The following is a 24192-nucleotide window of genomic DNA, read 5'->3' on the forward strand; positions in this document are numbered from 1 at the left end:
TGGCCTGATCTCTTCAAAAGATCGATGTCATAAAAATAAAAGTTTGGGGACAGAAATGGAAAGAACTTAAGAGTCAAGTGTGGTGAATACTGATTGGTTCTTAGTTAGAAAAAAAAAGTCCTAAAAGGTTTTTGGGATGACTGGGGACATACGAATATGGACTGGTTGTTACAGAATTAAATTTTCTTAGCAGTGGTGATAACAATGGTTATTGTAGAATAAGGGCTTTATTTTTATTTTTTGAAATGGATCTCACTCTGTCGCCCAGGCTGGAGTACAGTGGCCCCATCCCAGCTCACCGCAACCTCTGCTTCCCAGTTTCAAGTGATTCTCCTGCCTCAGCCTCCCCAGTAGCTAGGATTATAGGCACGTGCGCCACCACGCCCGGCTAATTTTTGTATTTTTTTGTAGAGACGGGGTTTCACCATGTTGGCCAGGTTGGTCTCGGACTCCTGACCTCAGGTGATCCGCCCGCCTTGGCCTCCCAAAGTGCTGGGATTGCAGGCGTGAGCCACCGCGCCTGGCCAAGGGCCTTATTTTTAAGAGATACATGCTCAGTATTTGGTGTTGGGGTGAAATGTCATATCTACAATTTTCAAATGGTTCCGAAAAGACACACAGACGAAGCAAATATGGCAAACTGTTAACAAGTACTGGAATCTACGTGGTATCATTATATTGTCTTTTAAAGTTTTCTCTGTTTAGTTTTCTTTTTATAATACAAAATTAAGGGGAACTGCAGGCTAGACAGTTTTGATCCGATGTTATTCTGCTAATCTTTTAAAGGTGTCTTGCGGTGACTCACGCCTGTAATCCCAGCACTTCGGGAGGCTGGGGCGGGTGGATCACCTAAGGTCAGGAGTTCAAGACCAGCCTGGCCAAAATGGAGAAACCCCGTCTCTACTAAAAATATAAAAACTAGCCTTAGCCCGTCGTGGTGGCGGGCGCCTGTGGTTCCAGCTACCCAGGAGGCTGAAGCAGGAGAATCTGAAGCAGAAGGCTGAAGCAGAAGGCAGAGTGGGGACTCCCCCACGCTTTGGCTTTCAGAACAAGGGTTCGAATTCTGGGGCTATTACTTTCTGACCGTGTGGTTTTCTGCAAGCATCTTAACCCGGGCCTCAGTTTCCTCATCTGTAAATGGGAACAGGAATTCCTACCTCTTATGGTTGTACTGGGCGTTATGTGAGCCCAAGGAGCCCTGACCTGCGGTGAGAGGCTGGAGGCCGAAGGGCAAGGTTCGAGGGGCTCTGGGTGCCTGGGACAACCTCTGGGCAACAGGGAGAGGCGGCTGCGGGGCCAAGTCCCTCCTAAGCGGCCACGCGAGAGGCCCTGAGTCGAGAAGGGTTACGGCGCTTCCCAGAGCCCACCCCGCCCAACGTGTCACAAATAAAGCTGGCCTTTCTCCGATTCCCTGATTGCAGCCATTCAGGGAGCAGCCCCTTGCCCACGCATCCATTAGTCGAGGCGGTGGCTGCGTGTGCAGTGCTACAGGGTTCAGCGCCTGCCTCGGCTCCGGAATCAGGCTGTTTCCTTCTAGACCTCCCATGGGGGATTCAAGCCGGCGTCCGGGTCAAAGAACAGGGACAAAGTCCTCCTGCCACGGGGGACCATCTGCAGGCAAAGTGAAGAATGAGGAGCTTCGGCAAAATGCCGACTAAGGCCTCCTTAGGTTTTGCCCCACTCCAAGATGGAAGGCCTGAGGCTTCACACTGCCCCCGAAGTTCCTTTCCCATTGGCTATCTGGGAATTGAGTTTTCCAATAATGCGGACGCTGATTGGTCAATCCAGGACGGTTGCTCAAGCCATTGGCGCAGCCGCCATTGGAGGGCGGCTCTCAAAAGTTTTCAGACACAAATTAGGTTCGAGGGAGGAAACGGAGAGGAAAGGGAAAACTTGAGACGGAGGCGGGACTAAGGAAACGGCAGCTTGCATTGGTTTATTAGAGGCCAAGGGGCGGCTCTTGAACGTTCCTTCCTCTTGATTAGTCCTATTTAGGAAAAGAGGGCGGGTACTGAGGAAAAGCGGCAGAAGCGCCTGCTTCCATTGGTCAGTCCTGGCAGGAGGCGGAGCACCCGCGGCAGCTGATTGGTGCGGGAGGCAAGGTGGGCGGGGCTCTGAGCCGGAGGTTTTGTTGTGAGGGTCGGTTGTCAAGCAGCGGCCAATCAAGGCAGGGGATGGAGGCAAGTGGGGGTCGCGCCTGGAGCGGAGCCTCGGCCTCCGGAGCCGCAGCTGCAGGTGGAGTGGGCAAGGGGACGAGGTGGCGAGGGGACGGTGGGCCCTGGGCTGGGCCGAGCCAGGCGGGGCTGGCTGGGCTTGCGGGCAGAGAGCTCTGAGCGTGGGGAGGCTAGAGCCCGTACTCCGCAAGCAGAGGGTTGGGAGGATCAGCCGTGGCCGAGGGACCTGCCCCCGCCCCCGGACGAGAGGGGTCGGGGTGGAGGCCGGAGGGGGCAAAACCAGGGAGGCCGGAAGCAGAGCTGGGGGTCTGCAGAAGGACAGGTAATGAATAGGGAGAAGAGAAGTAGGAGAATGAATGAATGGGAGACCCCGCGAGCATATGGGAAAGGGCAGTAACGGGAGTCTGGCGAGGCAGGGGCCACGTGAGGGATATCGGGAGACAGGATGTGCATAAGTGGGAGACTCAGGGGGCAGGGAGAAAAGGGGGTGTGAACGGAGGACTAGAGAGGCAGACCCGGGGACCCAGGAGAAAGGGGACGGAGGGGAGCGGGCTCATGGGAAAGAGGTGAAGTGGCTGTGGGAAGGAGGTGGGAGGCTCCATGAGGAGGCCTTTTAGAGTTGAAGAGTCATAGCCACTTACGCCCAGACTGGAGGCCTAGTTCCTAGCTCTGTCCTTGGGAATCGCAGGGAGCAGGAGCGGTTCCCTTGCCAGGAGCTGGGGAATTGGACCATCAGGGTCGTCTTCGAGATTCTTTCCAAGGAGGACTTCAGTGGCCGTCTCTGGGATGCCTTTCCTAGGCCCCTAAGCTTAGCTTCTGACTCCGCTCTCCCACATCCCACACGTCAGACAAAAACAACGACTCGCAGGAAATCTATGTGAATTGCAGACACGTGGTCTTCTCCGCCCCACTGCGGCTGCTGCACTTTAGGCAGCCAGCATCCCGGAACAGAGCTGCAGCTCATTATCCTGGCCTCTGGGAGGAGTTTCTTTTTCCTTACGTTCCAAATCACCCTACCTGAGGTGCCCCCTCTGCAGATTCCCAAACCTAATTTGCAGTGCAGCTTCTGACTCTGGTGGCTTTGGTGGGTGTCAGTCTTTATCAAGTGGTCTTGGTGATCCAGGGAGCAACAGCTCTTACCAAGCATTTTCTAACATGACGTCACCTCTTGTTTGTATTGCAGCCCTGTATTGAGCTGAGATGGCTCGAGCCTAACATTCCATGATCCAGGATCGTGACAGATGTGCACAGGCTGCTGCTGTTGCTGCTGTGGGTAATTTGGAACCACGAGGCACCCCAGGGCCAGAAGACGAGGCATTCTGTCTGCCTGGATGTGTGGGAACTCTCTGCCAACTTGATTGGTGGATCTGGGGGGGGATCCACCCCCACCCCACGAGGAAAGCACAGTTTATTTTGTGGGTGGGGCTTCAGGTGCCAGCCAGCTGAAGGATGGCCACCCCTGTGGTCACCAAGACAGCCTGGAAGTTGCGTGAGTGGTTTTCATTTTTCTTTATCACCCCATTTATTCTGTTAGCGGCTTGTTGCTGGGAGGCCTGAACCCACAGCTTTGTTTCCTGTTCTTGGCACAGGAGGAGACTCCTAGACTTGGGAGTAAGATAGACCATTATGTAAATCATGACTGTGGCACTTCTTAGCTGGGTGACACTGGGCAGGTGACTTAACCTCTCTGAGGCTCAGTTTTCTTATATGTACAATGAGATGACGCCTGCATTCTATGGTTGCTGTGAAATTCAAGTGACAGGATGAACCCATCCTAAAGCACTTAGCACAGCATTTCCAGTTAGGCTGACAGTGGGGTGAGAAATCCTGAAAGATGTTCACAGCATTCTCAGACATCTCACAAGTCAAACTTCCCCAGTCAGATAAAAGCATCTTGGGCCTGGGATGGGGGAAGGAGTGGGAGCGAGGAGGGGCGGGCAGAGGGATGCAGACAGGGCTCGGATTGTAACTGATGGGCACTGTCCACTCCCACCATTGCCCTATACAAGTGGATCTGGACTCTTTCATCTGAAGACTTCATACTTTAAGAATTATTGAGGACCCCAGAGTGCTTTTGTTTGTTGGAGTTATATATCTGTCAGTATTTACCACGTTAGAAGTTAATACTGAGACATTTTCAAACAAGAGTATATAATCAAATAGGCCTCTAGTGATGTTCTGGGAAACTCCACCATATGCTTGAGAGCAAATGAGAGTGCAAAAGGCAGATGCCATCTTAGTGTTATTGTGAAAATCCTTTTGTCTTCTCAGACCCCCCGAAAGGATCTTGAGGATCCCAAGCATCCCCAGATCATATTTTGAGAATTCCCCTACACATTGGCACCTTGGTGGGCCCTGCCCCACCTATTGTAACTGGTTGGCATAGCTTTTGTGTGCTCCACCTGGTCACTGTCTGCTGCCAGCTGTCCCTGGGCTGGTTTTCAGGAGCTGGGACAAGACTCCACACTTTTTTTTTTTTTTGAGACAGAGTCTCACTGTCACCCAGGCTGGAGTACAGTGGTGCAATCTCAGCTCACTGCAACCTCTGCTTCCCGGGTTCATGCGATTCTCGTGCCTCAGCCTCCCGAGTAGCTGGGATCACAGGCACCCGCCACCACACCCGGCTAATTTTTGTATTTTTAGTAGAGACGGGGTTTCACCATGTTGGCCAGACTCGTCTCGAACCCCTGACCTCAGGTGATCCACGTGCCTCAGCCTCCCAAAGTGCTGGGATGACAGGCATGAGCCACCATGCCTGGCCAAGACTCCACACTTTTTAACCATGAATTTAACCATAAGACTCTGGGCAAAGCTCTTTGCAGGGCCTCTGTTTCCTTGTTTGTAAAGTGAGAGGTTTGGGCCATTTTCATGTTGTTCCCCAAAACTCTAGGGCTCTGGGAGAACCCTGTTATGGTTCCCCAAGGAAGGCACACTTTGGTCAGAGTGGCTTTGTAATTATTGGGATTACGTATTCATCCCTTCGACAGCTGGCCTTTCCCCAGAGCTAGGCACTGGGGAGCCACTGGGGGACAAAGTAGTCAAGGTCTCTGTACAGCGGGAGCTCAGAGCCTGGGGAGAGCAACAGGCAGGAACTGGATAACCGTATCCCTCTGTGTCTCCTCTAGTTGCAAGCTGGTGCCTGTGCTTTGAATCAGTTAGCTGGGGGGTAGGGGTAGGGGTGGGGTGGGAATGCTGCAGGCTGCATGAACAGCAAGTGCAAAGGCCCTGAGGCAGGAGGCTCAGTGTATTGGAAGGACTCAAGGGAGGCCATGGGCAGTGGCACAGCAGCAGGAGGAATGTGGGGCCGCACGGACCTACTGAGTTCTCAGGACCCCAGCCCTCCTGAGGCTGCCGTGCTTTATCATAAAGGCAAGGCCAAGCCATCAGTGTGTGCGAGCAGGAGGTAATGAGATCAGGCGTATTGGGCATCTGCTGCTGCTGCTGATTTCATGTGCACGGTGGTGTCCGTGGGAATCAACTCTGAAGAGCCCAGGGCCACGTGACCTCTGGCTCCTTGTGGCTCCAGGGTCTGGTGAGGATCAGAGGTGCGTGGCCCACATGAGGTCGTTGAAACCTAGTACTTTGTATCTTGCATTTGGGATGCTGATCCTCAGCCCCTCTGGCCACGCCGCACCATGTTCCCCAGCTTTGGCTGGATGTGGGGCCCAGGTTGTACTCCCAGAGCTTGGCCTGCCAGTAGACACTGAGGATTTTTATTTTTTATTTTTGGTATGAAAATCAAGTATTCGGCCTGGGCTGTTGGTTGCTGTCCAACAAGCCAGGATGAAGGAGGAGCTCTTGGGGTGGTGCCCCGTGCCTCCTTTGCAGGTGCCTGTGCTGTGTCCCTGCCCCTCTGCCCTCCCTCTGTGGGCTCCAGTCAGTCCCTGGTCAGGCTGCTTAGAGGGGAGTGATGTGGGCTCCTCCAGAAGGGCCCAACTTCTAAATCTTTCTCACTCCAAAGTCTGCGGTTTTGCCAGCTCAGTGTCCCGCCCCCACCACCATCTGATTATACTGGGGCATATTTCGTGCAAGGCCTAGAACAGGCACCCAGGAAATACTGATATTATGAATGAATGCCCCTGACTCCAGGGGCAGCAGTCCTGAGGCCCAGTGAGGTGGGGCCCAGCCAGACACTTTCCCTGGGAGGAGTGAGGGCCAGGGGACAGACAGAGCCCTCCAGGTAGGCCAGGGGGAGCGAGCAGTGCCTCCACGGAGAGGACACCAGGCTCGGGCACGGAATGCCAGGGAGAAGGTGCTTTGCCCTCTTTCTGGGTCAGGTGGAAACCTTGAACAGACACGTCTGTGGCTGGAATTCCTCAGGTTTCTGTCCCGACAGTGTCCAGAGGACAGAAGGCTCTCATCGAGACGGGACTAAAGTGGGGCCCAGCTCCCTGGGATCCCCATGGCGAACTCCCAGCGCCCTGGCCCAGGTTTGGGCCCACAGGGAACCCTCGCCCTTGCTGGCGCTGCTGCCTGTGCTGGCTCTGCCCCGACCGGCCCAGGAGGCAGGGTGTCATCAGTGAGATTCAGCCTGCGACTTGTCCCCTGGGTATTCCTGGTGGCCCCTTGGAGCCCAGGTTTCTGGCAAGCAGCTTCCCTGGGCCCAGTTTCCCAACCTCCTTGTGGTCTGAAGCCCGCAGCAGAGACACCCAGGCAGGGTGGAGTCGGAGCTGGGGTGCAGGAGGGGCCTCTGTGGAGCGCCGTGGCTCCAACACCCTTTTCCTTGGCGTCACCCACGCTGGCCTTCCGGGTGCCTCGGGGCGTCAGCACCTTGGGGTTTTCCCCTGGCCTGTGTGGGGAGAACTGTCTTTTTTCTCCCTTCTTTCCAGGAGGAGCTCATGCAGGGATGGGTTCTGAGGCCCGGGCCGCCTCTTGGTTCCCTGCCTGTGCTTTGCTCCCTGCGGAGTCCTCCGAGGCTCCTGTCTGCCATCTCCACGGACCAGGCCAGGGCCTTGGGCTGTCTGCACAGGCTCCTCCTCTGTGTGGTCAGCCCTCACCCCCACCCCAGCTGCTCAGTCTGTTGCCTCCTGCCCCCTCCTCATGAAGCCCACCCTCTGGTGCCCGCCCAGGCCCCCATGCCCACTCTCTCATGGTGACTAGCCCCGAGCCTGCCCAATGTCACGGAGCCCTCGCCTGCTACTAAGCAGCACGTAGGCGCGCTCTGAGGGAGTCCTCAGCATCAGGTGTGAGCAGACACCACGGGCATCCCCACTTTCCAGACGAGGAGCCAGGCCCTCAGAGGACAAGTGACCTAGTAGCCAAGGCCACGCAATAGCAGATCACAGACCTCAGACCAGAACCTGATCCGTGATTGTGAATCTGAGCCGAAGCCCTGTGCAGGCTTACCTGGGGGCAGCTTGTCTAGAGGTGACTTCGGTTGTTCTTAAAGTGTGTTCTCCAAAGCAGGGTTTGTATGTACACACAAGCAGCAGCTGAGAGGTGTGTAGGCAGTGCATGGGTCAATTTTTTTTATTTCAATAATTGTTTTTCTTTTTGTATCATAGAAAGAGTATCATGAGTATATCAAACTTGTAATTTCATGGACATTGCTTAAGCCCAAGCTAATAAAAATAGCAAGTCAATTTTAAAAATTGCGTATAACTAGTCAATATTACCAGGTGATATGCAGAAACAGGAAGAAAATCGTGAAGTCTAAAGGTAGGAAAGACAGGCATGATGAAAGTTGAGAAACAGTGATTTCCGTCTCAGGCCCATGCCCTGCCCTGTCTGCTGGTCCTGCAGCTCATGGTGGACACCAAAGGGGGAGCTGAAGGAGGCAGATCCTTCCACTGGGCTTCAGGTTCCAAAGCGGGTAGCCGAGCAGGGTCACCCCTCCTTCACAAGGCCCCATCGGGCCGCCCTGATGGCCTCTCCCTCTCCTTCCCTGTGTAGAAGAGATCGTCGCGCATGCCAGCAACGTGTCCTCACTGGTGCTGGGCAAAGCCTCCGGGCGGCTGCTGGCTACAGGCGGGGATGACTGCCGCGTCAACCTGTGGTCCATCAACAAGCCCAACTGCATCATGGTGAGCCCCGACAGCTGGCGGGGGGTCAGGACAAGGGCCTGGGGAGGGGACGGGGACAGGGGTTGGAGGCTGAAGAGTGAGCAGCTTCTCAGACTCTCTTGAGCCCAGGGCCCCCTATCCGCTGGGGCCCAGCTCAGGGGTGGAGGGGGCGTGGTGGGGACACCATCAGTGCTTCCCCCAGCTGTCTGCTCAGTGAGGCCCAGGACAGCCCAGCATGGCTGGGACAGTGGCCAGCCCTCAGGAGCGAGGGAGTCACCTGCCTGTGGTACTATTAAGAACTCCAGGCAGGCTGCGTGAGAAGATTAAAATAAGCCCTGGGCCTGTGGTTGAGCCAAAAGACTTGTACCCCTCCCCTCCCACCTGCCCATCTGCCTGCCTGGCAGCAACATGTGGGCGTTTATTTTAATTCATTCCCAGCCTTCATTCCCCAATGAGGATTTGAGGGGACCTGGCTGGAGCTGGTTAGGGAGCTAGTTCTTAAATAGCATCTCCCCACTATTTATGCAGCTATATGTTCAATGCTGGAAACTGTTTTCCAAATAGGAGTGCATAAAGGAGAAAACACAAAATTAACTACATATAGTTCCGTTATCCAAAGGCCACCACAGTTGGTGTTTTGGTGTGAGTCCTTCTAGATGCTGAGACAGATACATATACGTGTACATGCACGTAAGTGCACACTTGTACATGCATGTACACATGTATACACACAAATACTCATACAAGCACACACACATAAATAAAAATACACTGCCACTCTTGTGCAGCCTGGTTTTTAAAAATAACAATGTTGTAAGGATTTGCCTGTGTCAACAAGTATTCTTTTACAACATAATTTTGAATGGCTTAATGGTGTTCCATTGTAGGGATGAGCCGTAATTAGCTTAGCCACACCCTGTTATCAGCAGAGAGGTTGTTTCCGGCTTTTTTTGGCTCTGCTAAAGCACCCTGTGGTGAACATCCTCAGCCACCTAGATCCTTGAGCAGATCCGTGATCACTGCATTCAATCCAAGGGTGTGTGCTTTTGTTAAAGCTTTCAAAACAGATTGCCAAATTGCCCCCCAGAAATCATTTTACATTCTCACCAGCAGCATCGGAACCTGCCCTTTCCTCCCTGCCCCAACCCCCATCCCTTGCCAACCAGGGAGTATCATTGTTGTGACTCTTGGTGAAATAAAGATGAAGAGGAATAGGCCGGGCACAGTGGCTCACGCCTGTAATCCCAGCACTTTGGGAAGCTGAGGCGGGTGGATCACCTGAAGTCAGGAGTTTGAGACCGCCCTGGCCAACATGGTGAAATCCTGTCTCTACTAAAAACACAAAAATTAGCCGGGCGTGGTGGCAGGCACCTGTAGTCCCAGCTACTCAGGAGGCTGAGGCAGGAGAATCGCTTGAACCTGGGAGACGGAGGTTGCAGTAAGCCGAGATGGTGCCACTGCACTCCAGGCTGGGTGATAGAGCAAGATTCCATCTCAAAAGAAAAAGAAAAAGAATATGGCAAAGGATGAATTTCTTAGTAGAAACTTAATCACCTCAGTGTTTTTCTGAGATCCAGGGGGAGAACTGAGATCCACCCCAGCCTCAGCAAGGGTGCCAGGGGTCAGTAATGATGAATTGAATTGTTTTGTTTTACTTTGTTTCTAGGATTCAAATGTGTTTTCTACCCCCATGAAATGCCAAAGTAGTAGCATACACAAGTTGAAAAAGCATCACCAATGACTGACCAAAAATAGGACATGCCACGACCCCCAGAGAAACGGGGCCAACCGTCTGGGGCCTGGCCTGCAGGCTTGTTTTAGAACGCCAGGTGCAGCTGTCAGGCCCCAGCCGGCCTCACCCCGGGCCCCTGCCCTGGCTCACACACACCAGCCTCCCAGGCCTCGCAGTGCCTCCAGCCTGCCGGGGTCTCTCTCCCCTTGGGGTTTCTGTGCACGCTGTCCCCCTGCAGGCCGTCCACTTGGATTTATTTTTATTTTTGAGTATGGGATACACTTATTCTGTTCAACATCCAAAAGATAGAGGATCCACAGTGAAAAGTCTTCCACCCTCCTCCAACCGCCACAGCCCTCTCCTTTCCACGGGGATGGGCAGTCAGGGAGAGCCAGGGGTTCTAGAGGGGCGAGATGTGTGCCCAGGACTAGGCAGGCCTTGGTTCCGCTGTGGCTTACCTCGCTGAGGGGCTTGCCTGGGGCAGAGTGAAGATGGGAACAGAGCGGGGGCAGGGTTGCTTAACTTAGGGCTGAAGGGACAGCATCCCTTTATCTTGTCCAGTCGCTCCCCTCCAAGGGGCCCAGGGCCATTTCTGCAGGTGACGCCCATGTCAGAAGCACAGCAGGGAAGAGGGAGGTGGTGGGGGGATGATTGGGGTTTGGCCACTCTTAGCCCTGGGAGCTGAGGCCGAGAGGAGTAGGTGCTCAGAAAGGGCCTGCAGGAGGGCTAGGCTGTGGCCCCCATGGGGCTCCCCCTCCTGCCTTAGCCATTTCTTGCTGAAGCCTTTCCGGGGGACTTGGAATTCAGGGCGCAACTGCAGGGGTCTGTCCAGCAGTGCACGGAAGCTGCTGCTCTCTCTCCACAGAGCCTGACGGGCCACACATCCCCAGTGGAGAGCGTCCGCCTCAACACCCCCGAGGAGCTCATCGTGGCCGGCTCTCAGTCGGGCTCCATCCGTGTCTGGGACCTGGAAGCTGCCAAAAGTAGGCCTCCGAGCTTGCCTCCTGTGCACGCACACCTGCCTTAGTCTTCAGGCTCTGCAGTTGTACTGCTTCCTCCAGGAAGCCTGCCTGGACTACGTTGGCTGCTTTGCTCCTGGAGCACTAACCCGGCAGTGTGGCACCCACTCCACCCCCATTAGCCTGGCATTGACATGCACTGCTGCCTCGTGTGGGTGGGGGGATGTGCGGGTGTGTGTGTGTGTGTGTTTGGATGTATGTGTGTTTGGATGTGTGTGTCTGCGGGCACGTGTGTGTGTGTGTGTGTGTGTGTGTTTAGAACCTAGAGGGATGTCACATGCCGCCAGGGGCCCTGCAGGTCACATGAATGAGTGAGGTGGCTGCGTGGGACAGCCATGAAGAACCGGGGAGCTTGTACCCTGACTCCAGGTGGTCCCCACTCTGCCTTGGCTCCCTGGTGCCATTAGAGGCAGCCTGGAATGGCCAGATCTGTTTCCTTGTGCTCTGTTTTAATTTAGTTTTCATCTGTATAGAAGTTGTACATAGCCTAAAATTTAAAACCTCAAATACCAGTATTTCTACAATTAATTTCAATGGAAAGAGGAAACTTCTGCCCCACTCCTTCCCATTCTCCATGAGCCTAAACTTTCTGTGCTTTCGTCTGTGCTTTGCTGATCGCCTCCACCTTTCTAGACCACATGGTCATACCACAGTTTCTTTCTTTTCTTATTTAAAAAACACCGTGGCCAGGCGCAGTGGCTCACGCCTATAATCCCAGCACTTTGGGAGGCCAAGGCAGGCGGATCACCTGAGGTTGGGAGTTCGAGACCAGCCTGACCAACGTGGAGAAACCCCATCCTGAGGTTGGGAGTTCGAGACCAGCCTGACCAACGTGGAGAAACCCCATCTCTACTAAAAATACAAAATTAGCCGGGTGTGGTGGCACATGTCTGTAATCCCAGCTACTTGGGAGGCTGAGGCAGGAGAATCACCTGAACCCGGGAGGTGGGGGTTGTGGTGAGCCAAGATCGCACCATTGCACTATAGCCTGGGCAACAAGAGCGAAACTCCATCTCAAAAAAAAAAAAAAAAGTTAACACATTAGTTATTCTCTTCCTACTGTAAAGGATGAGAATTTAGCTCTCTCATGGCACCACTCCCAGCCCCATGGCTCGTGTTTCTCCTCCCACCCTCCCAGTAGCACCATTTCAATAGGTGGTGTTTATAATGTAAGGACGCATAAGTGTCATTTACCACTGACTATTTCTTTTTAATAACTTGGTTTCCCTGGAGTTAATAATAGTTCCTTTTTTTTTTTAATCTGTGTGTTTTCTATGTCCATATTACTCATTCATCCCCAAATTCTCTGCCAGAAGAGTAAAGCTCCTCCTGTTTCTTTGAAACCCATCCCATAATCCAGGCGCCTTTTCTCAGAGCCTCTCCTCTGGTCCTAGTGACCTGCAGCCCAGCTGTCATCCTGGGCCTCTGTGTCTCTTCTCTGGGGAATTCTCTCCATCTGTTGTTCCTGGTCCCACGCCGCAACCTTTCTTGGTTTTCTCCCTCTTTTTGATGGAGCACATTCTTTTGTAGCTTTCTGAGAAAATGTGCTGGGAAGGCATAGTTTTGGAGAACTTCCATGGCTGAAAATGACTTTCTGCTACCCCCATCATTTGCTTTTGTGTTTGTTTTATGAGTTTGAGTATAGAGTTCTATGTTGGCAATAAAATATCGCCCTCAGAATTTGGAAGGTGCAGCTTTTCTGCCTTTTAGGTTCTAGGTTGCTATTGGGAGGGGCCGGTGTTGTTCTGATCCCAGATCCTTCACAGGGGACTGGCTTCATTCCATGTTCTGTCTCTTCCTTCCTCTCTCTCTCTCTTTTCTTTCCTCTCTCTCTCTGTCTCTGCAGGCTTTTAGGGTCTTTGTCCCAGTGTTCTGGTGTGGTGAGCCTTGGGGTGGGTCTGCTTCCACCCTGTGCTAGGTCGTCACTGGTTTCATGCGGTTGTGGTCTGGAAACTCATGCCCTCAGTTCTGGGCTGAGCGGAGAGTCTCGCCCACTGCTCCTGTGCTGTGCCTCGGTGCCTTAGCAGGTGGTGCCAGCTCTACGGATTTTTCAAGAGAGGCTGGAAATCTGGAAATTCATGTGCCTTGGTGCCTTAGCAGGTGGTGCCAGCTCTACGGATTTTTCAAGAGAGGCTGGAAATCTGGAAATTCATGTGCCTTGGTGCCTTAGCAGGTGGTGCCAGCTCTACGGATTTTTCAAGAGAGGCTGGAAATCTGGAAATTCATGTGGAATCCACCCATTTAAAAATGTTGACAGCTCATTCAACATTTGTTTTAGAACACCATGCAGGCCAGCACTGTGAGGTCCAAATAAGACCCGTTTGCCTGATGCTTTTCTTTTCTTTTCTTTTTTTGAGACAGTGTCACTCTGTCACCCAGGCTGGAGTGCAGTGGTGTAATCTCAGCTCACTGCAACCTCTGTCTCCCAGGTTTAAGCGATTCTCCTGCCTCAGCCTCCTGAGTAGCTGAGACTACAGGCACGGACCACCATGTCCCGCTAATTTTTGTATTTTTAGTAGAGACGGGGTTTCTCCATGTTGGCCAGGCTGGTCTTGAACTCCTGACCTCAGGTGATCCGCCCACTTCAGCCTCCCAAAGTGCTGGGATTACAGGAATAAGCCACCATGCCTGGCCTGCCTGATGCTTTTTGATAGCCCTTGTTGGATCATCCCGCGTGCCAGGCAGGAGGCCACCTACCTGAAGCCCTGGAGAGGAAGCAGCAACGTGGATTTTGCCGAGGCTGCTTTTTCCAGAAGAGAGCCCCTCTGGCCTGGCTGAGACTTCAAGATTCTTCTGGGCCTCTCCTTGGTTCATGCTCTATGTTGGCGGCAGGGCAGCAGCCATGAGCCACACATGCACAGTGGCAAGGTTCCCTTTGCTCAGGAACAGTGGGCTCTCTGTGTAGGTGGTACTCAATAAAGATGCACGCAGCCTCTTCAGTGATGCTTGCCTACTCAGTGATGGTCAGTTTAAGAACAAAAGAGCCCCAGGACCTCTTTGATAACAAACAGGACTGCAGGCTTTGCGTCTCGGCACGTGATCGCACTGCCTGGCCACACCAGGGCATGCTGTGCTTGGTGTCGCTGAACTCAAGCGGGCCAGGGAGGAGTGAGTCCAGGATGGCTGGGCTCTCATGGAGAAGATGGGAAGGCTCAGGCAGAAGGTGGGCAGCTCCCTGGACCTGAATCCCAGCGCGTGGGCACCAGCCATTCAGTATTCACCGAAGAACAAGAGACAGAAGGGAGAAGCCGAGGGCGCCGTGCCCCCTGTCCAGGCTTTCTCATCCACAATTGTTTTGCTCACAGGGGAAATGTGAGGAATTCCTTGAGGTGGCTGAGAAATGAAAACTGAAGATTGCTGGATTCCTGGGCCCTGGACGGCCAGGGCTGGCTGCTCCACAAGGAACTCATTACGAACTCACGGCCCAGACTCCATCCTCAGAGAACCCGATTCAGTACTGGGGTGGGCCCAGGATCTGGATTTTAATAAGCTTCCAGGTGATTCCGATGGACAGCCAGGTTGACAGATGGGCAAACAGAGGCCCAGGGAGAGCACCGAGCTTAGGAAAACCCCAGTAGCTGCAGGTAGCAGAGCCTGGGACTTGAATCCCGGTGTCAGGACTCCCATCCCAGTGTTGTCTGTTCTGCCATTGGATGGAAGAGAAACTTGCCATCAGCACAGCAGGTAGAGCTAAGACCTCCGGCCCCCCTCCACACCCCCTCGCCAGAGTGCAGGTGACAGTGACAGACAGGCAAATTGAGGCCCCAGGTGTGGAAAGGTTCCAAAGAGAGCTGCTCTGCGGGCATGGTGGCTCACACCTGTAATCTCAGCACTTTGGGAGGCCAAGGCAGGAAGATCACTTGAGGCCATGAGTTTAAGACTAACCTGGGCAACAAAAGGAGACCCCATCTCTATTTTTTTAAAAAAAAAAAAAAAAAGGAGAGAGAGAGAGCTGCCTCATATCGGTTGCCTTGAAAGGCCACCCATCACTGGAGGGTTCAGATGTAGGCTGAGGAGGTGCTCAGCTGGGAGGCGTTGGGGGTTCCTGTGTGGGGCAGACAGACCCCGGAAGCCCCTCCACTCTGCAGTTCCTAGATCCCATGATTGAATGTAGGCATCAGAGGCCTTCGTGGGACAGAAGAGCAAGGGCAGGAGTCAAGCCGGAAGAATGTGGTCCTGCCTGCTTTCCACAGCGCAGCCAGAGGGCAAGGGTAGCTCAGCGCAGGGGATCCCACGGGATCTCACAGGAGGGCGGCCGGTGCTTCATGCAGCCAGCCCACACAGGGTGGGACTCCGCCACATCCTCTCTGGGCAGGGCAGGATTTTGGAAGCCTTGCTGTGGGATCCAAGCTGAGTGGGCTGGGAGCGGGTGTGGACTGGAGCAAGAGCCAGCGTGGCCTCCTTGGCCAGGAGGCAATGCCCAGCCCCCAGCAGCACCTGATAGCTACACGGAGCAAGGAGTGACAGCTGCAGAGATTCTGGTGCAGGTGAATTGGATATGCATTCGACAGACTCCAGAGGGATGTGAAAGTATCCAGACCCAGCTCCAGCGCCAGACAGGGCCAGCTGCAGAGGGGCACTGAGGCCTGGGGAGGAGGAGAGAAGGCCCAGCTTGCGGGACAGCCAAGAGCAGAAGGCAGGCCTTGTGCAGGAAGAAATGTGAATGGGACTAATTAAGACTGGCATTTATTGAGCACTTACCATGTGCAGAGCCCGTGCTAAGCACTTTATGTATGTTTACTCCATTCTGTGACCCAACATGAGGCCCAAAGACAGTAAGTGATTGGCCAGGGTCACACCACCAGTGAGGAGCGGAGCCAAGGCTGATCCCAGTATTGTCTGATGCCAGAGCCCACATCCTGACTTTGGGGGTAGAGAAGATCATACAGTAGAGTTCATTTAATTCACCCAGTGCTTGGATCTTGACTCTGCAGTAAAGTGTTATATATGGAATCTTGAATACCTCCTCTGACAGAGAGCTCACTACCTCACAAGGTGACCTATTGCACCTTGGCTCAAAACTAAGAATGGCTGGACTCCCACATTTCCTGACCCTGGCACTTGGGATGGTCAGTTTCATTCAGATAGTGAATTATGAATCTTTCCAAAAGCAGGAAACATGAGACAAATCTGAGTGGTACTGGAGGACACCCTGAAACACACAAGGTTTGCCTCCAGGCTGGGCCGCTCCTGGCCATGGAGATGCCTGCAAAACCTTCAAGGAAAGGATAGGAGATGTGGTTCCTAGGGCAGTGGGAGGCGATCAGGCCCCACCCCAGGAGTTCTTTGGTCCTCGCGTGTCCTCCCTGTGTCCTCTCAGTTCTCACTGCTCCTCAGTGTGTCCTCACAGCCACCCTCAAGATCCCTTGGACAGAGGTCACCCAAGAAGACTGGTGTGTGCACCAGGGCCACCCCAGCCATGCCCTCCACTTGCCCTTCTTAGGGCCTTTGCCCATCACCTCCATCTACCTAACAGCATCCCTCATCCTCCACCCACTGACATCTACTCAAATACCACCTCCTCCATAAAGCCTTCCTGGATTTCTCTTTCCAACCAAGCAGCTTCTCTCCCAGCTTGAACCTCTCCTGGTCTGTCTCTCTCCTTGCACTGTCTTGGGTGGGGTTCAGTGCCCTGCAAACCATAAGCTCCACACCCATGGGGCCTGAACTGAGTGTGGTGGTTCCCTGGTTCTGCTTCCGCTGGAGCACAGTCTGTGGGGAGAGTGTGGTACAATTTCTGCAGACTTGAGGTAACATAGGGCTGTCACCTCTCAAGAGAAATGTGGGAAAATTAGTTGTTGGCAGGACGCAGTGGCTCACACCTGTAATACCAGCGCTTTGGGAGGCCAAGGCGGGTGGATCACTTGAGGTCAGGAGGCCAGCCCAGCCAACGTGGTGAAAACCTATCTCTACCAAAAATATAAAAAAATTAGCCGGGTGTGGTGGCACATGCTTGTAATCCCAGCTACCTGGGAGGCTGAGGCAGGAGAATTGCTTGAACCCGGGAGGCAGAGGTTGCAGTGAGCCGAGATCACGCCATTGCATTCCAGCCTGGGCGACAGAGCAAGACTCCTTTTCAAAAAAAAGGAAGAAAAGAAAATTCGTTGTTAGGGTGGTGGGACCCTTGATTGTTTCCTACTGTTTTAAAAATGTGTGTTATTGTTCTATTTTTCTGTGCAGCTAATCCAAAAGCGCACACACAAATGCCCACAGCAGCCCTTCCTCTGCCAGCCTTCTCATTTGCCTCTTAGCCACTGTCTCTGCTTTCCTTCTTGTTAGTTCTTCGCACACTCATGGGACACAAAGCCAACATCTGCAGCCTGGATTTCCACCCGTACGGCGAGTTTGTAGCCTCTGGTTCCCAGGACACAAACATCAAGGTGAGAGGCCGGTCCGTGCCCCGTGTCTCCTGCTGGGCCTGTGGCAGGACCAGCCCGGCCCGGCCCTCAGTGCTGGATGCCTGCTGAGGGGACCTCTTCCCTTTCTGCAGCCACATCCACACCATCCTAGGGAAAGCGGGTGGCAGGCATCTATCTGCCAGATGCTTCTGCTCAGAATGCCAGCTTTAGTGAGCAGTTTCTGTCCTTGTCTCCGTGGGGAGTAACGACCTAGAGAAGGCTGGGCCCCACCGTCTGCTCACGACTGCACACCTTCCTCCAGTCGTGGCTCTGACCTCTCCTGACTCTGCCCCTCTGCTTCTCTCTCCCCCACAGCTCTGGGACATCAGGAGGAAAGGCTGTGTCTTCCGATACAGGGTAAGGATGCGCTCTGTCGGTGACTCCATGAGCACCTTGCGGGCATTGAGTGTGGTGTGGTGCCCAGACCCCAGCAGGGGGTGGAGGGGACGGCTGTCCCACATGGGTGATAACATAAAACATAGACCTGGAGCTGAGCAGGAGCGCCATGGGCGGCCCACCTGGATCCCCTGGCTCTGCATGAATCCCCTAGAGCCACGTTCATCAAACTGCTCCAAGCAGAACCAGGCGGGTAACCAGTGTTGTTAGATGGAAGGGGTCCCATAGGAGTGAGGAGGCAGGGAGAGGTCTGTTGGGCCCAGGATCCCAGGGTGAGCTCATGCCGTGTCCTCCCTCAGGGGCACAGCCAGGCCGTGCGGTGTCTCCGGTTCAGCCCCGATGGGAAGTGGTTGGCGTCGGCCGCAGATGACCACACCGTGAAGGTAGCTCCCGGCCTGACCTGGGCCCAGGGGCTGGGGGCTGGGGTCTGCTGATCACAGCAGGCTGAGTCCTCACCTCCCTCCTGATCGGGCTCACATGTCCCAAGCCTATCCCGAGTGGAAGGTAGCTTGTGGATAAAGAGCTTGGCCTGGATTAGAGGGAGGGTGGGCAGCCAAGATGCCTGGTCACCCTGACCTCCTCCCTGCCCTGCCTCCAGCTCTGGGATCTCACTGCCGGCAAGATGATGTCTGAGTTCCCTGGTCACACGGGGCCTGTCAACGTGGTCGAGTTTCACCCCAACGAGTACCTCCTGGCCTCCGGCAGCTCTGACAGGTGAGGAGGAGGAGCGAGGCGAGTTGCTTGTGACTGCTGTCCTTCACCGCCTTGTCCTCTGTGCGTGTCTCTACTGCCGGTCTGTCGCTGTCTGGGGTGTCATACGTCTGATGATCCTGTGTGGACTGAATTGGATTTCAGCCGAGCCAGGACTGGACCCTGGTCCATCTCCCCTGGCTCTGGTTCCCTGGCCCCAGTGTCCCAGGTCTGTGGCTTCATGGGCAGGTTGGGACCCAAGGCATCTAGTGGGACCCCATAGGGCAGGGAGGCTCGTGGCTGTTGGGGCCAACCCTGGGGCCAGGGCCATCGGGCCGAGCCTCCCCCTTGCAAAGTCAGGGCCAGCTCTGCCCCAGATGTTGCTCCTGGTGGCCCTGCCCTGGGGGAGAGGTTTCTAGAGAAAAGCTGGCTTCCCAGGGACATGTGGAGGCCAGGATGAGGGATAGGCTTCGCAGCACAGCTTGGCTGCCTTTGCAGGACAATCCGCTTCTGGGACCTGGAGAAGTTCCAGGTGGTGAGCTGCATCGAAGGGGAGCCTGGGCCCGTCAGGTACGCAGGCTGTGGGGTGGGCGGCCCAGCGCTCCTCCCGGCAGTGGGGCGTGGCTGTGGGTGGGCCTTTCCCATCTCCGCTGCTGCGCCCTCCCTGCCCTGGGCCCTCTGGATTCCTCGGGGTGGGGACCAGGCTGGGTGCCACAGGACCCACGGCCATCTCTCGCCTGGCCCAGGAGCGTCCTCTTCAACCCAGACGGCTGCTGCCTGTACAGCGGCTGCCAGGACTCACTGCGTGTCTACGGCTGGGAACCTGAGCGGTGCTTTGATGTGGTCCTCGTCAACTGGGGCAAGGTGGCCGACCTGGCCATCTGCAATGACCAGTTGGTGAGAGAGCCATGGCACCCACCGCCCCCCACTCCCACAGGGCCACCCGCCTCCCTCCAGCCCAGGCCCCTCCTCCTACCCCCACACTGGGGCTGGGATTTTGCCCCCTCGGCTTGCAGTCCCAGCCCCACCTCTCCGCTTTCTGCAGATAGGTGTGGCCTTCTCCCAGAGCAACGTCTCCTCCTACGTGGTGGATCTGACGCGTGTCACCAGGACTGGCACGGTGGCCCGGGACCCTGTGCAGGACCACCGGCCCCTGGCACAGCCACTGCCCAACCCCAGCGCCCCCCTCCGGCGCATCTATGAGCGGCCCAGCACAACCTGCAGCAAGCCTCAGAGGTGAGGGCCTGGGGGGCCTTCGGGGGCCCAGGAGAGGGACTGTCACAGGGGAAGCCTCGGAGTTCCAGCCCTGGGCCTCACAGGGCACCTGCTTCCGTTGGGCTTGGCCTCACGCTCCCAGGGTGAAGCAGAACTCAGAGAGCGAGCGCCGCAGCCCCAGCAGCGAGGATGACCGGGACGAGCGCGAGTCCCGCGCGGAGATCCAGAACGCCGAGGACTACAACGAGATCTTCCAGCCCAAGAACAGCATCAGTGAGGCCGGGCTCCCGCCCCCAGCCCAGCGTCCCCATCGGTGAAAGGGAGGCTGGGGGTCCTTCCAGGGTAGCCTGCTGTGGCTCCGCATCCCTTTAACTTCCTCCTAACCCACACCTGGGCTCCGTATCCTGTCCTCACGTTCCCTGGGCCTTGCCAGGCTGTGCTCTGATGGAACTGAGAGGGGGGCCTGGGCACTCCCCAGCAGCGGCCCAGCAGCTGCTCAGTGTCCCAGTCCCTGCCCTGCCAGGGACAAGTGGGCTGGGAGGGGCAGGACTGAGGGTTCCTGGGACCAGGAGCAGGGTCCACAGTCTGCAGCCGCATGCCTGGGAGCTACCCTCCGTCCCCCGCACTCTGGACAGGGCCCTGGGTCCCAGGTGGCCTGGCCAGGAGCGCTCACAGCCAGGGGCCTCTTTCCTCTGCAGGTCGGACGCCACCCCGGAGAAGTGAGCCCTTCCCTGCACCCCCAGAGGACGGTGAGTTGGGTGAGCCTGGTTTCCCAAGGTCTCTGATGCCCCCCCGTCCCTCATCTTCTCTTCCTGTGAACCCTCCCAACAAGCCCCTTCCCAGGACCCTCCCCTCTCAGGACACGACCCACACCCTCTCCCGCTGGGTCTCTGCCCTCTGCCTGTTATGTGCCAGGTCCCTGCAAGACCGATAGTGCCCCCGTAGGAGCCTGTGCCCTGGTGTGTGGGGGACAAACATGGACACCACCACACTGGGGGGCCTGCCAGGGGCACTCGGGCTGTGGAGGATGGAGAGGAGTCACTGGGGGCCCACCTTAGATGGGGTCTGCTGTAGACGGGATGATCGGGAGGCTCTCAGGAGGCCCAATGCCTGTCAAGGCCTGGGGGCCAGTGAGAAGAGAGAGAGAGAAGTGCTTCTGGCAGGAAGGGAGCTGAGAGGAGGTGAGCTGGGGCGAGTCCCAGCAAGAGGTCAGGCCCACAAGGCCTCAGCTGGGGGTTTGGATTAAGAAGGGAGAAAAATGATCTGCACTGTGGTTGGAGAACGGGCAGGCATGGGGCCACCTGTCCTGTAGAGTACCCCTGCCCTCCCCTCAGGGACCGTCCTTGCCGTCAGTCCTGGCTTTCCTAGGAGCCTCCACTTCCATCTTGCCAGTCATCCCAGCCCCCTCCACATACATGCCAGTGAAGGGACAGGATGGCCACATCCTAGAGCCCCCTGGGTCCCACCCACAGGCAGACCTAAGGTTGAGTTGGGGGAGAGGGAGGAGGCAGGTCCAGGCCTGCCCCAGGTCCTCTGGAACCCCCACGCCACTGGCCTGCAGCCTCCCCCATGCTCCTGCTCCATCCCCCCATTGCAGATGCTGCCCAGAGTCCCGCCCTGAGCCCTGCCCTTCTTGCCAGGCCCTTCTGGCCGGACCCAGTCATCTTTTCCTTTTGCCTCCAGACGCAGCCACAGCAAAGGAGGCAGCAAAGCCCAGCCCTGCCATGGATGTGCAGTTCCCGGTGCCAAATGTATGTCCATGGAGGGAGCATGGTGTGGGGCCTAGAGAAGGTCCTGACCCAGGGTTGGGGGTGCCTCGGGAGGCAGAGAGGGAGGCCCCAGGCCGGCAACCGCTGAGTTTCACACTTTCAGCTGGAGGTCCTGCCCCGGCCCCCAGTGGTTGCTTCCACACCTGCACCCAAGGCTGAGCCTGCCATCATCCCTGCCACCCGGAACGAGCCCATCGGGCTGAAGGCCTCCGACTTCCTGCCCGTGAGTAGGAGCCCAGCTCGAGGCATGGGTGGAGGTCTGTGGGTGGAGGGCAGAGCTTTGCTGCTGGCTCCTCCCATGCCAGCATCTGGGTGTCCATCCCACGCAGGCCGTGAAGATCCCCCAGCAGGCCGAGCTGGTGGACGAGGATGCCATGTCACAGATCCGCAAAGGCCACGACACCATGTGTGTGGTGCTCACCAGCCGCCACAAGAACCTGGACACTGTGCGGGCTGTGTGGACCATGGGCGACATCAAGGCAAGTGCCCACCCTTGCACAGGGCCTCATCTCGCCCCCCTGCCCCTGCCACCTGCCTGCCCGGGCTTGGGGCAGAACAAGAAGAGGCCACCCATGGGGGACAGTGTGGGATAGGCCATCCCTGACGTCACACCATCTGTTTCCGCCATCATCATCATCATCACAGACTGCCGTTTAGTGAGCATCTGTTTACATGCCTGGCCTTACACTCATTGCGTTAGGTGCAGTGCTGAATACCCACAGCCCCATCAGCACACCCACATTCACGTTCGTACCCCCACCCTCACCCTCACAGGGCCACACTGTCCCCCACTGCCCCACCCCTGACGGTGCTCTGTTTGCACAGACGTCGGTGGACTCCGCTGTGGCCATCAACGACCTGTCGGTGGTGGTGGACCTCCTGAACATCGTCAACCAGAAAGCGTAAGTGGCTGCAGAGGGGGAGTGGGCGGAGGGGCAGGGCTGGGCTGATGGCAGCATGTCCTGGCCTCTCCTAGCTCCCTGTGGAAGCTGGACCTGTGCACCACCGTCCTGCCACAGATTGAGAAGCTTCTGCAGAGCAAGTATGAGAGGTGCGTGTGGGGAAGCCATGCCTGCCTGAAGCAGGGGGAGGGGAGAGGTAAGAAGCCTCCTCCAGAACCATGGGAAGGACCCCCAAGAGCCTGGGTGTTCCTGTGAGCTGGCTGTGAAGCATTGCTGCCCCTCAACAGTCCGGAGGTGGGAGTGGAAACAGGCGTGTGTGGGTGTATGTGTGGGTGTGTCTGTGTCTGTTTCTGCCCCTCTCCTCCTTTGTTCCTTGCTGTTTCTCTTTCTGTCTGTGGCCCTTGGTCCATCTGTGACTTCATCCATCTCCCCCTAAAGCTACGTCCAGACGGGCTGCACCTCCCTGAAGCTGATCCTGCAGCGGTTTCTGCCCCTCATCACAGACATGCTGGCGGCCCCACCCTCTGTGGGTGTGGATATCAGCAGGGAGGAGAGGTGAGGGCAGCGCATGTGTTGGGGGCAGGGGTGCCACAACAGGTGAGGGGACAAAGGCCTGGAGGCCTGGGCCCCTCTTACTGACAGTCCTGCTGGGACAGAGTACAGAGGAGGCGTTGGTCTGGGGCCATGGCTCAGGGTGTGGGTGGGCTTAGCCAGAGCTGGGTTCCTCCATGGCCTGGCTGTGCCCACAATCCCTGGCAGGGCCTGGGTGGTTCCCCTCTGGGCCTCCGCCTTCCCTTGGGAGGAAGGGCTGGAGCAGTTAGGACAGCAAAGGCCCTGGGGTTGGGTGTGGGTGGTGGTGGTGCCAGCTAGCCCCTCAGGCACTGCCCTCTCTACAGGCTGCATAAGTGCCGGCTCTGCTACAAGCAGCTTAAGAGCATCAGCGGCCTGGTCAAGAGCAAGTCAGGCCTGAGCGGCCGCCATGGCAGTACCTTCCGCGAGCTGCACCTGCTCATGGCCAGTCTGGACTGAGGAAAGCAGTGGGCAGGGGCGCTCGGCAGCCCACAGGGCCTGGCCTCAGCCCCCACTCCTGTTCCTTGTGCACCCACTGGCCCATGAGCCTCTGCCTGGCCCCTGCTGCTGTCCTGTGGCCGTCCTGGAGGAGGTGATGCTGGTCCCTGGCCACCTCTACAGCCCTGAACTCTTGAGACAACTCTCTCCAGCAATAGCTGCCCAGCTTTGCCCAACTGTTGCTTCTTGGGGCAGCGAACTGAGCCCTGGGGCTGCTGCTGTAATTTATAAGGCAAATTTTATTAAATTTGTAACTATTCCCAGGTTTCCTTGTGGGGAATGTTTTCTGCTGGCCACAGGGCTCCCCGGGCCCAGGAGTGCCTGCCCCATGGTTTGAGATGAGGCCACACCCCCTCCAAGCCCGGGGGTGGGGCTCTGGGCCATGTGGCCAGCAGGGGGCAGCAGAGAATCAGGCCTCTGGGACAGCACCAGTTCAGCCAGTGCAGACTGGGAAGGAAGGGGAGGCGGCAACCACCCTTCCACCACTGGGTGTTGAGGTTAGGGGTGGCCCCCACCAGCCCGTTCCTCCCCACCTCAGCTACACTCAAGCTGTCTTATGGACACCCCCAGGATGCCTCCAGGGGCAGGACTAGAAGGGCACCTGCCCCTTCCTCTGAGCAGGGCTCCGATCAGCTGTCACTCCCTGCTGGAGTCCCCAGCACTGGCTGGCGGGAAAGGGCTCCCTGCTCCGTGGGCACTGCGACAGGTGGGCCCCCTCCTGCTCCCAAGGCAGGGACCAGGTACAGCCCCGCCCCGGGGTGGTCAGGGTCCTCGGCACTGGAGGAAGGTGGCGTGGACCTCTGGCCAGTTCACTGAAGAGGGAAAAG

At 56.4% G+C, this 24192-nt stretch overlaps 1 protein-coding gene and 1 long non-coding RNA gene across 2 annotated transcripts, besides 11 other annotated features; one reads left to right on the forward strand and one right to left on the reverse strand.

Moving 5' to 3' along the window:
* Window positions 1-978: an enhancer, noted in NCBI's record as "H3K27ac-H3K4me1 hESC enhancer chr16:57767533-57768510 (GRCh37/hg19 assembly coordinates)". NCBI's record gives its function as "activates a minimal SCP1, AML or CMV promoter by ChIP-STARR-seq in naive H9 embryonic stem cells {active_cell/tissue: H9 hESC(naive)}" and the evidence as "EXISTENCE:reporter gene assay evidence [ECO:0000049][PMID:30033119]".
* On the reverse strand, window positions 209-3024 carry LOC107984852 (uncharacterized). The gene is made up of 2 exons (XR_001752221.3): window positions 2816-3024; window positions 209-1987 (listed from the first exon to the last, which is right to left on the reverse strand). It is a non-coding gene; the product is annotated as an uncharacterized LOC107984852 (long non-coding RNA).
* Window positions 1608-1717: an enhancer, noted in NCBI's record as "active region_10910". NCBI's record gives its function as "activates an Ori minimal core promoter by ATAC-STARR-seq in GM12878 lymphoblastoid cells {active_cell/tissue: GM12878}" and the evidence as "EXISTENCE:reporter gene assay evidence [ECO:0000049][PMID:35858748]".
* Window positions 1608-1991: a biological region, named in NCBI's record as "Sharpr-MPRA regulatory region 7942".
* Window positions 1697-1991: an enhancer, noted in NCBI's record as "tiled region #7942; HepG2 Activating DNase unmatched - State 1:Tss, and K562 Activating DNase unmatched - State 1:Tss". NCBI's record gives its function as "activates a minimal TATA promoter and a strong SV40 promoter by Sharpr-MPRA in HepG2 and K562 cells {active_cell/tissue: HepG2 | K562}" and the evidence as "EXISTENCE:reporter gene assay evidence [ECO:0000049][PMID:27701403]".
* Window positions 1738-1907: an enhancer, noted in NCBI's record as "active region_10911". NCBI's record gives its function as "activates an Ori minimal core promoter by ATAC-STARR-seq in GM12878 lymphoblastoid cells {active_cell/tissue: GM12878}" and the evidence as "EXISTENCE:reporter gene assay evidence [ECO:0000049][PMID:35858748]".
* Window positions 2150-23624, forward strand: KATNB1 (katanin regulatory subunit B1). Its single transcript, NM_005886.3, has 20 exons — window positions 2150-2235; window positions 3358-3663; window positions 8067-8197; window positions 10774-10891; window positions 17207-17307; window positions 17641-17682; window positions 18021-18104; window positions 18320-18435; window positions 18910-18981; window positions 19158-19308; window positions 19457-19647; window positions 19769-19899; window positions 20325-20375; window positions 21310-21377; window positions 21499-21618; window positions 21725-21874; window positions 22221-22297; window positions 22372-22446; window positions 22736-22852; window positions 23194-23624. Exons 2-20 carry the CDS (start codon window positions 3624-3626, stop codon window positions 23324-23326), a joined length of 1968 nt encoding a protein of 655 aa, NP_005877.2. The 5' UTR covers window positions 2150-2235; window positions 3358-3623; the 3' UTR covers window positions 23327-23624.
* Window positions 2218-2457: a silencer, noted in NCBI's record as "silent region_7536". NCBI's record gives its function as "represses an Ori minimal core promoter by ATAC-STARR-seq in GM12878 lymphoblastoid cells {active_cell/tissue: GM12878}" and the evidence as "EXISTENCE:reporter gene assay evidence [ECO:0000049][PMID:35858748]".
* Window positions 3276-3345: an enhancer, noted in NCBI's record as "active region_10912". NCBI's record gives its function as "activates an Ori minimal core promoter by ATAC-STARR-seq in GM12878 lymphoblastoid cells {active_cell/tissue: GM12878}" and the evidence as "EXISTENCE:reporter gene assay evidence [ECO:0000049][PMID:35858748]".
* Window positions 10069-10569: an enhancer, noted in NCBI's record as "H3K4me1 hESC enhancer chr16:57777601-57778101 (GRCh37/hg19 assembly coordinates)". NCBI's record gives its function as "activates a minimal SCP1, AML or CMV promoter by ChIP-STARR-seq in primed H9 embryonic stem cells {active_cell/tissue: H9 hESC(primed)}" and the evidence as "EXISTENCE:reporter gene assay evidence [ECO:0000049][PMID:30033119]".
* Window positions 23369-24008: an enhancer, noted in NCBI's record as "H3K4me1 hESC enhancer chr16:57790901-57791540 (GRCh37/hg19 assembly coordinates)". NCBI's record gives its function as "activates a minimal SCP1, AML or CMV promoter by ChIP-STARR-seq in naive H9 embryonic stem cells {active_cell/tissue: H9 hESC(naive)}" and the evidence as "EXISTENCE:reporter gene assay evidence [ECO:0000049][PMID:30033119]".
* Window positions 23597-23891: an enhancer, noted in NCBI's record as "tiled region #7405; K562 Activating DNase unmatched - State 25:Art, and HepG2 Activating DNase unmatched - State 12:CtcfO". NCBI's record gives its function as "activates a minimal TATA promoter and a strong SV40 promoter by Sharpr-MPRA in K562 cells, with weaker activity in HepG2 cells {active_cell/tissue: K562 | HepG2}" and the evidence as "EXISTENCE:reporter gene assay evidence [ECO:0000049][PMID:27701403]".
* Window positions 23690-23839: a silencer, noted in NCBI's record as "silent region_7537". NCBI's record gives its function as "represses an Ori minimal core promoter by ATAC-STARR-seq in GM12878 lymphoblastoid cells {active_cell/tissue: GM12878}" and the evidence as "EXISTENCE:reporter gene assay evidence [ECO:0000049][PMID:35858748]".

The sequence above is a fragment of the Homo sapiens genome, chromosome 16 (genome assembly GCF_000001405.40).
Source record: "Homo sapiens chromosome 16, GRCh38.p14 Primary Assembly".
NCBI lineage: Eukaryota > Metazoa > Chordata > Mammalia > Primates > Hominidae > Homo > Homo sapiens.